This window comes from Homo sapiens, chromosome 8 (genome assembly GCF_000001405.40).
Source record: "Homo sapiens chromosome 8, GRCh38.p14 Primary Assembly".
Lineage (NCBI taxonomy): Eukaryota > Metazoa > Chordata > Mammalia > Primates > Hominidae > Homo > Homo sapiens.
In genome coordinates this window covers 142,515,276-142,528,279 of record NC_000008.11, presented here as the reverse complement: position 1 = coordinate 142,528,279, position 13,004 = coordinate 142,515,276, and the positions used below count along the sequence as shown (strand labels likewise).

The window sequence follows — 13,004 nt, the reverse complement described above, 5'->3', positions numbered from 1 at the left end:
TCCGTCTGCACAAAGCGGCAAAATTCCCAGAGGGAGGCCGCTGCGCCTTCCAGTCCCCTTTCCGTGTGTCTGCGAGGGAGCTGACCTGGGCAGGGACCTCGTGCAGGTCCTCGTGGCATGTGTATGCCCACGTGTGTGTGCCCATGCGTGTGGGTGTGCGTGCACACATAGACCGGTGTACTGGGTGCCCCTCCACCCCAACCTCCATCCCGTCTACGTGGGCGGCGAGACCTACACGGCCACACAGGCGAGTCTGGGTGCGCTCCTGGGCTGTGTGCACCTAACGCAGCTGGCCCCCGTGGCACACACAGGGTGAGGTGGGCAGAGTGCAGGCCGCCTGGGCTTAGTTCTAGTGTGTGCCCACCTGGCCTGGAAGCTCAGCTCCATCAGCCACTCAACCTCCCTAAACCTCCATTTCTCAGCTTTAAGATGGGACTATAACCATAGAATCTGCCACAATGGTTATTCTAAGAAGCAAACAAAACATCCACCCTGGGTGAGCCCCTGAGATCACTGCTGCTTTTACGACCAGGTAGGCAGTCTGCCATGCTCAGACCCTGGATGTGTAGCCCTGGGGACCTCTTCTGAGTGTGACCACTGTCTTGGGAGCAGTGTGGGACAGGGTGTTCCGGGGACAGGTAGGGCAAGGCCTTAGAGAGGCCTGTTCCAGCCTCCATCTCCCAGGCCAGGAGACAAAGCACCGCGACTCCCACCCAGAGTGACAGACCCCAGGGCCATGGCACGCACTCAGCATCAGACACCAGCTCGGCTGGTTCCTAACCAGGACCAGAACCCACAGGCACCCAAGGGGAAGGCTTCCTGAAAGCGTCTGTTCACTGGGGACAGCAGGAGGAGCCAGGAAGAGAGAGACAGGAACAGAGAGAGAGACAGAGAGACACCAAGCATCCAAGCAAGACTGGCACGGAGGGGAGGGGCCCACGCAGACACCAGCCAGGGCTGGATGACACAGAACAGCAGGCAGAGGTGAGGGGCGGGAGGACCAAGAGGGGCTTGTCCGCCCTAGTCAGCTCCCCACGCCCCGCAGCTTCCCCTCTGTGCCCAGGGCCCTGTCCCTCAAAGGTGGGTGCAGCCACACATCCCAAGCGCCTCTGTCTTGCTCCAGCACCCTGTCCAGCTGCTGTGCTGAGAGCACTCCCTGGGCTTGGGTTCCCCGGAGGGAGGAACATCAGCTCCACCTGTCCTCTGCACCATCCTCCCCATGATGAAGGTCCCACAAAGACAGGGAGTCCCTGCATGGACAGGCGACATCCTCCCCCTGGCCATGGAGCAAGCCTTGTGGTAGGGGAGTGGGGGGCCAGGGACCCCCAGCACCCAGCCTTGGGGGCACCCTGCTGCCATCCTGCAAGCCAGGCAGAGGCGGGGTGTCCCTGCACAATCAGTCTCACAGCTTCTGAGGACTTTATGGGACCCACCCTGTCCAGGTCAGATGGAGAAACTGAGGCACGGTGAGAGGCAGGGGCTGGCTGAGCCTAAGGGGCCTCTGTACTCAGTGCCTCCGTTTCCCACCCGCTCCGGGGTCCCTGGACCTGCAGTCTCAGATTGGGCATGGAGCGTTCTCCATCCCCCGGGGCTGGGTGGGCTCTGGGTCTTGCACTCCGGGTGGGCAAGGAGCCGCGTAGCCCCGGTCCTACCCTGCCCGCTCCTTCAGCTTCTTGTCCGTGATGCCGTCTTTGGACACGAGCTTGTTGAACACCAGGATCCCAATGACCATGTTCACCTGCCGGGCAGAGAGTGGTGGGGGTGTGGGGGTGGGGGCCGCCGTAGGCTCAGGGGCTGACACTGGCCGGACCGATGCTGGCTACGCCAACCACGACCCCCTACCCCACCCAGGGTCACCTCCCGTGCCTCCATCACAGGAACCCCAGTGCCTGATGGGATGTCAGGTGACCTCCAGCCCAGCTGCCAACTGTGCAGGGCCCTCTCTGTGTGTCACCCGCACCGTCGGCACCTCTGCTGCAACTCCTTGCATCCCTTCCACCAGCGAGCTCCCCACCCACAGGGCCCGGAGGCCCCTGCCAGCCTGCAGCTGAAACCTGTCTAAGGGACACCAATCCTGGCTCTCCCTGGGGTCACACTCCTCCTGGCTCTCTGCTCTGGGCAGGCCACCTCCTCTCTCTAGACTTCCTTCCTGATCTCCCTCCCCTATTCCCATCAGATTAACTGCCCACCCCATAAGGGCCCTGGCTGGGCGCCTGCACCCAGGGAGGCTCTTCTTGGGCTCTAACATAAGTCTCCCATGCCTGCCACTGTCCAGGCTACCAGTCAATACAAGAGCTGTTCCTGGAGCACCCCCGGGAAGCCACTGGCCCTGAGCATCCTGGGGTCTCCCCCTGTCTCCTGGCCTCCTCTGCTGGGGGGAAGGAGGAGTCTCAGGCCATACTCTCTGCTCCCCAACTGCCAGAGGCTCCCTGAGGCCCTCCTCCTGCATCCCCACTCTGCAGAAAGATGCTGCTAGGACCCCGAGGGGCAAGGCCTGACTTCCTCAGGCCCAGGTTCCAGAAGCTGGAGGCTGGGAGACCCCAGGACTCCATGGACCCCTGACCAGGCATTTCACGTCCAGAAGACCAGGGTGGTAGACCGTGTAGCCCTCCAGCTCAGGGCTCATGACCACACAGCCGGCCTGCTTTCCACAATGGATGCAGAGTTCCCAGACACCCACATCACAGCCTTGGCCAGCCTGATGGGTGGTGGCCTCTTTCCTGGGCAGCCTACTTTTCTGATGTGGCCGGAGCAGAGAAGAGAGGATGGACACCAGTGACGGACCACTGCCTGCAGCAGGCTCTGCCCAGCCTGCCCCACGTGGCCCCAAGGACAGGAGGGGCTGCTGGGGCTCGGGTCCCACAGCCGCCAGGGTCAGCCTGCCTTCCTGACACATCCTGGGGAGGGGTGTACAGGGTGGGACTCCTGTCTCTGTCCCCTTTCCCACAACCTCCATCCCCAGGTGCCTGGGGTACCGCCAGGTACCCCACGCCTCTCCTGCCTCCCGCCTGGAGGAAGGAATAAAGAAGGTAGGATCCCACAGCCAGGGCTGTGGGGAGGGGTCTGGGGCTGCCCAAGGATGGCGCCCCACTGCCCCTCCAACCCCCAGTAGGCTCCCCAACTGCCCCTACAGGGCTAGCTCCCCATCACCCCTCATGCACGTTTCTCTGCTAGGCCCAGCCTGTGCCTGAGTCCCCACTAGGATGGGGTGTGGCCCTGCAGAGACACCGCTCATGGCAGCAGGAATTACTGGAAGTGGATGGCCTCTCCTGGGGCGAGAGGGGAGGGGATGTGAGGGTGGGTGTGAACCCTGGTGCTCTGCCAGAGTAGAGAGGTGGGGGCTGGCTGAGTGGGCTCAGAGCTGGACCCAGTAGAGGCCAGTGACCCCAGGCGGGTCCCCCAGGCTGCCGCAGCTCATCTGTGACCCCAGGACGGTGACCCTGCGTGCCACCTGCCACAGTCTTGCCTTCCTCCACACTAAGGTGGGAGGAGAGCGGGAAGGAAAGCCCAAGGACCCACACAGGGAAGGTCCTCACCGGGGCCCCCGAAGGGGCAAGCAGCCGCGGTCACCAGCCTCACATCTGGCGCTCTGGGGCCAGACACCCACAACCCAGGTCCAGCCTGCAGCTCCCCGCTGCTCGCATCATCCGTCCATCCCCAGCTTCCTCCCATGCCACTCACTCACCACACCCGCGGGGATCTCCTGGCAGGTACACAGCTGGCACCCAATAATCAGGCAAGCCGAGACTCACAGGTGTGAAGGGTCACTACCCTGGCCCAGCCCCTGCACTGCATGCCAAGGGCAGGTCAGAGTGGGGCTGTGGGCACCCCCACCCCCTGGTGATGAGGGCCATGAGGGCCATCCTGAAGGGACAGCAGGTGCACAGCCTGGGGCATGAGACAGCACCGAGGCCCAGGAGGCAGGTGGGGGGCCCAGGTGGGGTCGTGGGGAGTGGGGCCTGGGCGGGTCAGTACCAGCACAACGGCAGCGGCAGGTCCCACGAAGGCATAGAGCAGTCCCCCCTCCAGGGAGAGCCAGCAGCTGGGGAGGAGACAGGCCATCAGCACCGCCCGTGTGCAGAGGGGCGTGCAGAGAGGTGCTGCCGGCCTCTCAGGAGTAGGGGTGAGCTGGGAAGTGGCAGAAGAAAACTGGCACTTATTAAGCGCCTTCGGCATGCAGGGCAGGTCACACCCACTCTTTAGCCTTAGAATCCTCAGGAGACCCCAGGCAGCCACTGTCACCCCCATTTTACAGATGGGGACAGTACCAGAGGGGGGGACCCACCTGCTTAGAGCCACACAGCAGGGGCACCAGGCTGGCAGGGCCAAGGCCACCTGACTGTCCCTCCTTCCCCAGGCCTGGGCCCTTCCTGGCTCTTCTCTTGGGGTCTCTGGCCGACCCTCCTTCCTGACGCGATGCTTGAATGCTGGGGCTCAGGCCCCGTGGCCTCAGCACCTGGTCCTATGCTCACACATCTGTCCTGCCCCCTCCCCACCCCCCTCCCAGTAAGCAGCCCCACATTCTCCAGATCTCTGGACACCACCTGTGGTGCCCATGGAAACCTGAAACCCAATAAGGACCGTTCCCTCTACCCTGAGCAGCCTACCTCATGTCATCTGTCAAACAAACTCCTCTTCATCCTTCAGAACCCCACTTCAATGTCCCCATCCCCTCCTGATCCACCCCTGACTTCGGCAGGCCAGGTATTTGCTTCTCTCATCTCTGGGGACAGTGTTTGGATTTCCCTCTCAGCACTCACCCCCTGGGCCCTCAGCTATGTCTACCCCCTACTGCCACCTAGACAGGGCAGTGCTCCAAGGGGGTGCCACATCCTGTCCCCAGGGGCTCCACAGTGAGCCAGGCCTGCTCCGCCCTCCCACTCAGCCAGCATCAGTCACTTCCTCCTGCCTCGCGCTCCCCACTGCTCCCCTCCCTGCAGCCAGGCCCTCCCTTCAAGCCTCGGTTCCCCTTCCCCACCCCAGTTCTTCTGCCCATCCTGAGCCCCAGACCCTTTCTCCCTACCCGGTGAACCATACTGCCTCTAGGATGACCCCAAGCTTCCTGGCTTGCCATTTAAGGCCCCAAGGACCTGGTCCAGCTGACCCTTCAGGGTCTCAGTGACATCATCTGTGAAATAAGCCTCCGACCCCTGCCCTGCCTGCCACAGGCCTGCTGTGGGGGGTGTGCCCACTGTGCCCAGAGCTCATGTCTCAAACAGCCCTCCCTCTCACCAGCACCGTACAGAGGGGGGCTCCCCACCGAACAGATGGGGAAACTGAGGCTCAGAGTGACTAATGGACCAACTGACAGAGGGGGAGGCCCTGATGGCCCGGTTTCTTTCAATACTGCTGCCCACTGCTCGCTGCCAGGGAGAAGCTGGCTGGCCAACAGGGAGGGGATGCCCAAGGGGCTCAGCCTCCAGCCCCTGGGGCCCCACCCTCCCTGAGCCTCTGTGAGATGATCAGGGTCACACGGGGGGAGGGCATGGCCAGCCCTCACCCTCCAGGGCGGTGGAAGTCTCTGGGGGGCCATGTGGCCATCCACCACACCCCCAATGCCCCGACTCACTAGTTCATGGTGCTGTACCCTTTGGCCTTGGTGAATCCCACAGAAATGGCCACAACCAGTGCAGGGAGCCCTGGAGAAGGAGCAGAGAGAGGGTGTTGGCCCCACCCAAGTCCCCAGCCAGCCTCCACCTCCTCCTAGCCCTGCCGTGAAGGGCGGGGGCCAGGCAGGCGCTTCTGAAGCCCCCAACAGAGGATGGGGCTGAGCAAGAGATGGGGCAGGAGGTGAACAAGGCAAGGGCCTGCGGAGCTGGGCGCAGGGTGGTCCAATGAGCAGAGAACACATAGGGTGCCCGGCACATCTGACTCGCAGAGAAATCAGGAATCATCTTTTTGTAAATGTACCTCCCAAATACTGCACCGGACATACTTGTGCTAGAAACGTTTTCGTTATCTAGACATGAAAGAGAACTGGGTGTCCTGTGCTTTATCTGGTGACTCCATGGAAGAACGAGGGCCCAGAGGGGGAAGCCCACCCAAGCAGCAACTGAGGCCCCAGGGGTCCACAGGGGATGGGGAGAGGAGGGGCTGCCAGGACAGAACAAGCAGTGGGGGAGGAAGGGTATCTGTCCAGGAGGGTCGGGAAGGCCGCGGCTCACCCCAGCCCAGGCAGAGGAAGCGCTTGCGGATGAGGCGGTTCCGGAGGTGGCCCGTCACCGCCATGTAGGACTGCCAGGCCTCGGTGAGCACCCAGCAGAAGGAGGACAGGAAGAAGAAGTGCAGGAAGGCGGCCACCAGCGTGCACACCACCTGTGTGGGGCCCAGGGCGGGGCAGGCTGGGCAGGTGCTCCCCGGCCCCACACCTGTCCCCACTGAGTGCCTGTCTGCAGCTGGCAGCCCAGCACCCAGCACCCTCACTGGGACCCAACCAGGTCCCCAGGCAGAAGGCAATCCAGAGATCACCTGGTCCTTGCCCTGAGATGAATTGTTGACCATCTAAGCCCCGTTGGGACAAACAGATCCTCCCTCCCCATCTTTCTCAGCACCATTCATAGCCACACCAAATGCTAAGCCAGGGGCCTTCTCAAAAGTCCAGGTACCCGCCCATGCGTTCAGGAGGTAGTAAGCCCAAGGCCCAGGGAGGGCACGTCACGCCCCAAGGACACACAGCAAGTCGCAGGCAACCTCACCCACACAGCGGCCCTGAGCTTCTGCCACAGCACATGGCAGGCCCTGGGGCCAGGCCTTCTCTGTCTCACTGCGGGCCCTCTTGCTTTATTTTCTCTCCTAGATTGTCAGCGTGGCCCCTTGAGGAAGCAGAGGCCCCCAGCCAAAGGCTGCACCTGCCACATTTAGTGGGATGGGGCTGGAGACCACAGGGTAGGAACCAGGGATAGGGGGTCTGGGGAGGGCAGGCAGGGGCCCTCCATGAGCTGCCAGCTTCAAGGCTGGCGAGCGTAGGGGTGAGAGGGTGGACCGTGGGAGCCTCTGTCACCACAGTGCCACTCGTCTTGAGTGCCACTCCCCAGCCCTGAGGCAGCTTGAGCTGAGGCCGAGTCCACTGCCCACAGCGGGATGGGCAGGGCTGCAGCAGGCTCATCCTGAAGGGCAAGTCCAGCAGAGACACTGGAACACAAGCTGCCCTTCTTGGCCGGCTGACCAGCCCCTGACAGGCTCCTGCAGCCACAGCAGAGGGCAGGGAACTCCCTGTAGCTGGGGCAGCCTCCTCCTGCCCCCACACCCGCCTGCCTGAGTTTCCCAGGGATCCCACGGTCCAGGCCCCTCCTGGGGTCCATCCTCACCACCCGAGGATGTTGGGAAGTGCATGGCAGGACGCAAGGCTGCCTACCTTGTTGCGGGTCTGGGTCTGCCCGATGAGGATGAGGGCATTGGAGGAGATGATGGACAGGCAGAAGTTGATGAGGATGACAGAACGCTCTGAGCGAATGTACCTGTGGAGAGTGCAGGGGCCCAAGGTCAGCACCCAACAGAACCCCATCTGCACAGGGGCTGTGGTCCTGTGGCACCAAGACCAGAGCCCCACCCCACTTCCTGCAGGCATTGTCACCAACAGCACCACCACCATGACCATCATCACCGCCACCATCACCACCATTACACCATCATCATCATCACACAATCATCACCACCATCACCAACACAACCATCACCACCATCACAATCAGTACCACCATCACCACCACCACACCATCACCATCATCACCATCATCACACAATCACTACCACCATCACCACCACCACTACATCACCATCATCACCATCACCATTATCACACAACCATCACCACCACCACCACCACCATCACCATCACCACCATCATCATACAATCATTACCACTATCACCATTACCAACATCACAATCACTACCATCACCACCACCACCATCACCACCATCATCATACAATCATTACCACTATCACCATTACCAACACAGCCATCACCACCATCAGCACCACTATCATCATCACAATCACTACCACCATCACCATCACCATCATCACCACCACCATCACCATCATCACTCCATCACCACCACCACCATCACCATAATCACTAGCACCAGCACCAACACCATCACAACCACTACCACTACCACCACCATCACACCATCACCATCACCACCATCATCATCATACAATCATTACCACTATCACCATAACCAACACAGCCATCACCACCATCAGCACCACTATCACCACCATCACAATCACTACCACCATCACCACCACCACCATCACCACCATCACCATAATCACTAGCACCAGCACCAATACCATCACAACCACTACCACCACCACCACCATCACGCCATCACCATCACCACCACCACCACAATCACCAGCACCACCAACACCAACACAACCACCACCACAATCACCAGCACCACCATCACCACGACCATTACCATCACTACCACCATCACAATCACCAGCACCAGCACCAACACCATCACAACCACCACTACCACCATCACCATCACTACCATCACCACGACCATTACCACCATCACTACCACCATCACCACAATCACCAGCACCAGCACCACCAACACCATCACAACCACCACTACCACCATCACCACCACTACCATCATCATCACCATAATCACCAGCACCAGCACCACCACCACCATCACCACCACCATCACTACCATCACCACCACAATCACCACCACCACCACCATCACTATCACCACAATCACCAGCAGCAGCACCACCCCCACCATCACCATTACCACCATCATCACCACAAACACCACCACCAGGACCACCATCACCACCATCACCAGCAGCCCTTGAGGACTGAGGTCCACCCAGCTGGAGAGCAGAGGGCACAGGGCTGAGCCTCAGGGGCTCTGACATGACCCTGATGTGCTGCATGACCTTGGGCAGGTCACGTTCTCTCTCTGGGTCCCCACTTCCTCATGGGGACCACAGAACAGTCCCTGCCGGCAGCTCATAGGGCACAGGGATGGCCAGGAGAGCTCACCAAGGGAGATGCTTTGAAAACTGTCGGCAGAAAACTTCCTCAGAACTCAGGACATCAGAGCTGAGTTCAGAGCCCCTGAACCCCATTCCCCAGATGTTTTGTGGAATCCAGGCCCTAGGGGAAGGCAGGTCCCGGGAAGAGGAAACACCATGGTCCCCCTAGAGCCCAGTGGATGCTGTCCCCTCAGGCAGGACAGTGGAGAGCCCCTGCCACTACCCACAACCCAGTCACTGTCTCCGGGAAAGCTCGGCCACCCTCCCCCACCAGCCACATTGACCTCCCGATGCCCGACCTTGGGCAGCAGACAGGCAGTCAGTTCCGATTATCGGCTGACATCGCGCTGCCTGCAGAGCCGGAGCCACGTGTCCTCTGGACACGTTGGGAGTCCCCACTCGGCCCCATGGGCAGTGAGTGACCTTGAGCCCTTGCTCCCTGCTCCACACTTCTACTCAATGGGACAGGAGCAGATAGCGGGGAGTGCCTGGAGGCGCGTCCACACACTCAACAGGCATGTTACTGCTCAAACACGAGCTCTCCTCCACATCTCTCCACACCTGCCTGGGTGGCCCCAAAAACCCACTGGCCACAATCAGAATGGACAGCAGGCTGAGAGCCCTGTGGCCTTGGGGAAAGGGGGTTTGGGGTGGAGAGTGAGCAGGGGCTTTGGGCCTTAAGGCCTGACTGGGGGTCCGGGGAAGGCTGTGGCCTGGCCTGCATGCCTAAGGGTAGACAGGGAAGTCAGGAAGTGCAGGCAAAGGGGGCACGTTCAGGGGAGGAACCAGGCCCCACCCCCTGTGTTTGTGCGGCATGTACACATTATGAGTGTGTGGGGTGGCCTCAGGACCTGTGGAGGCCTCGGAGGGGCCACAGCATGGCTGGTTCCGTGGCAAATGCGGAGGTGACTGGGAACGTGAGGACAAATGGAGGGAGGGGCACCCACGACCCCGCCCGTGACCTTCAAGGGAAGAGGCGTGTGATGCAGGAGCCACAGACATGCATGCCCAGCACCTGGGCGGCACCCACCTCCACACGGACACGTAGATGATGACCAGCATGAGCAGGGTGAGAGAGGACACGCCACAGCCCACGATGAGCGTCACCGACGGCAGAGTCGCCTTCTCCATGTTCTGTGGGGACCGGGAAGAGACCGCAGGGAGTGAGGCACCCCACTCGCCCACTCGGCAGACCCGAAGACTGAGACCCGAGAGCCCGCAGCCCCGGGTCACACCCCCAGCGTTTGGCCCAGCCCCTCCTCCACCTCCCCACCCGCCCCCTGCAGACGAGGGGTTTCCTCTACCAGCCCAGGCCCTCCAGAACTCCCTTTCGGGGCTGTGCTCTGTGAGGTTGGGCCCTTTGCCTGTGCCCCACAGTCATATGCCAAGCCCGATGCCAGATAAGTCTTTGCTGCCATCATGTCTCGGAACCCCGTCAATTCCAGGCAGGCGCCAGCCCCACACTGCAGACGGGGCCAGGGAGGTGCCAGGTCCAGGCCCACCCACACGCACAGTCCTCTTGGGCCCAGGCTTCGAGAAATCCGGGGGCAGCAGCCGCTTTGACTCCGGCCCACCCCCATCCAAGATGCCATCCAGCCAGGCCCTGACACCCCACACCCACCTGTCCCTCCACAGCCCGGACACATCCCGACCAGCTTCCTTGCACCAAAGCCCTCCCCCTCCCACCCCTCGCTCTCTGTTCGGCAGGTGACTCTGTGTCACCTCCACAGCCCCTCAGTCCCCTGCAGCTTCTAGGCCTAGCCGCCAGCCCTGGCCCCAGGCATCCCCACCTCTAGCCCTGCCCCCTGTGAGCTCCTCTCCCGCCACAGCGGCATGGGGGAGGTGATCAGCGCACTGGAGGGCACCTCTGCCCTGCTCAGAGGCAGGAGAGTGTGGGAGCTGGGGTGTCATCCGGGTGCCGGGGTGACCTGAATAAAGTGGGCCCTTCCTCCTCACCACCTGCGGGGTACTTAGTTTAGGTGACTGCCCCTTCCTAGGGAGGGCCACCACTCCTCCCTGACTCTCCTGCCCTGGGCGTTGTCCAAATGTCCCACCCGGCTCTGCAAAGGCCACTGGGCTGGCCCTGGCCCTGCCCCTGGCCAGCCTCCCTTTCCTGACAAGAATGTCCCGAGCCCCCCAGGCCCCCTGGTTCCCCTCAGGGCTCTTCCCCAGCGGTGCCCCCAGAAGACCCTTCCCCTCTTCGCATGACTGTGCCTCTGGCCACTGCACTCAGCTCATCCTCTCCTCAAAAGGGCCTGGGCCGGCCACAGACCCTGCCATTCCCGACCCCATGGCCCTGCACAGCCCCAGCATGCCAGGCCTGAAGACAGACAGGGAAGTCAGGTGGCTGAAGGGCGTGCAAAGCTGGGGAGGGGACTCAGGCTGACATCGCTTCTACATGGATGAGTTCACCCCGAGCAACTTCCCAACCCATCACCTGAGTCATAAGCCAGGCTGAACCGCCATGCCTGACTTGTCCTCGGGGTGGTGCAGGCCACACGCCTGACATGCACAGACACACGCACCTGGGACCCACACACAGACACACACCTGGGGCCCGCACACATGCACGCACCTGGGGCCCGCACACAGGCATGCACCTGGGACCCACACACACACACACACACACCTGGGACCCGCACACATGCACACACACACACACACCTGTGGCCTGCACACACACGCATGCCCCTGGGGCCCACACACACACACATGCACCTGGGGCCCACACAGATGCACGCACCTGGGACCCGCACACGCACGCACCTGGGGCCCGCACACACGCGCGCGCACACACACACATCTGGGGCCCGCACAGACACACGCACCTGGGGCCCGCACACACGCACACCTGGGGCCCACACACACGCAACTGGGGCCCACACAGACGCACGCACCTGGGGCCCGCACACACGCACGCACCTGGGGCCCGCACACACGCATGCACCTGGGGCCCGCACACACGCATGCACCTGGGGCCCACACACACGCAACTGGGGCCCGCACAGACGCACGCACCTGGGGCCCGCACACGCACACACACACCTGGGGCCCGCACACACGCATGCACCTGGGGCCCCCACACACGCACGCACCTGGGGCTCCCACACACGCACACCTGGGGCCCGCACACACGACTGACGCCCCCCACACCTGGCACTCGCCTCCAGGGCCAAGCTGTGCTGCCCAAGTGTACCAGGTGCCACGGCTCCAGCTGTGCCTCCCTGGAACAAGAGTCGCCTTCTCTTCGTGTGCAGAAGCACTGCCAACCCACCAGGCTTTCAAAAGCCACTGCCTCCACACAGGCCCCTCGAACTACCCCAGGTAGCGCTGCTCACCTCTGTTGTCCAAACTACGCTCTGGGAGGGCAAGATGGGAACAGTGATGCCGTGCCCGGCAGGAAACTCTGCTCAGCACCACTCCTGCATGCCACAGCCTGGAGCTCAGGCCTCAAACTGGTGGTCCTCTGGAATTGAAGTCCCATCATCCGGTACTTCTCCCATCAAAACTCACCTGCCAGCTCTCCCACCGGCCCCCCGATCCCTCCCAGCCTGGCTCATCAGTCACCGGTAACTTTACCAGCGCAGAGCTGAGGTCCAGGGCTAGGAAACCAGCTGGACAGGGACAGGTGGGAGACAGGGTGACCCCAGTAAATGTTTCCAAGACACTGGGCTGGCCTGAGGCCGGCTGGCCACAAAGGTCACAGGCGGCCGAGTAAGCGTCTCGCGCCTGCTCTGAGGCTGGCTCAGGCCCAGGCCTCTGTGGCCATCTGCTTCCGCCTGCCCTCGTTAGGCCTGGCAGCCGCAAACCCGCCAGCTCTCCCACTGGTCCACCTGATCCCTCTCCTCCCCGCCTGGCTCATCAGTCACTCCCGACGGCCGTTGCTCAGCAGGTTCCAGGCGATGAAGAAGGGATGGGCGGTGGCCTGGGCAGGCCTCACTAGGAGGGGTAGACCAAGACCGGCCTCAACTCACGCCGAGGGGAGGCAGAGCCAGG

The 13,004-nt window shown here is 62.1% G+C and overlaps 1 protein-coding gene across 19 annotated transcripts in view, besides 1 other annotated feature; it reads right to left on the bottom strand.

The window, feature by feature from the left end:
• Positions 1 to 13,004, bottom strand: part of ADGRB1 (adhesion G protein-coupled receptor B1) — a 95,359-nt gene that overhangs the window by 16,728 nt on the left and 65,627 nt on the right. For 18 of the 19 annotated variants that reach the window (XM_017013695.2, XM_047422057.1, XM_017013691.2 and 15 more), the window contains 6 exons: positions 10,039 to 10,142; positions 7,355 to 7,457; positions 6,165 to 6,315; positions 5,570 to 5,639; positions 3,976 to 4,042; positions 1,653 to 1,738 (listed from right to left, as the gene is read on the bottom strand). In XM_017013695.2, coding sequence (XP_016869184.1) covers positions 1,653 to 1,738; positions 3,976 to 4,042; positions 5,570 to 5,639; positions 6,165 to 6,315; positions 7,355 to 7,457; positions 10,039 to 10,142 — 581 coding nt within the window. The remainder of the gene's footprint in view (positions 1 to 1,652; positions 1,739 to 3,975; positions 4,043 to 5,569; positions 5,640 to 6,164; positions 6,316 to 7,354; positions 7,458 to 10,038; positions 10,143 to 13,004) is intronic. The other variant, NM_001391986.1, reaches the window with a different exon arrangement.
• Positions 167 to 668: an enhancer, noted in NCBI's record as "H3K4me1 hESC enhancer chr8:143608973-143609474 (GRCh37/hg19 assembly coordinates)". NCBI's record gives its function as "activates a minimal SCP1, AML or CMV promoter by ChIP-STARR-seq in primed H9 embryonic stem cells {active_cell/tissue: H9 hESC(primed)}" and the evidence as "EXISTENCE:reporter gene assay evidence [ECO:0000049][PMID:30033119]".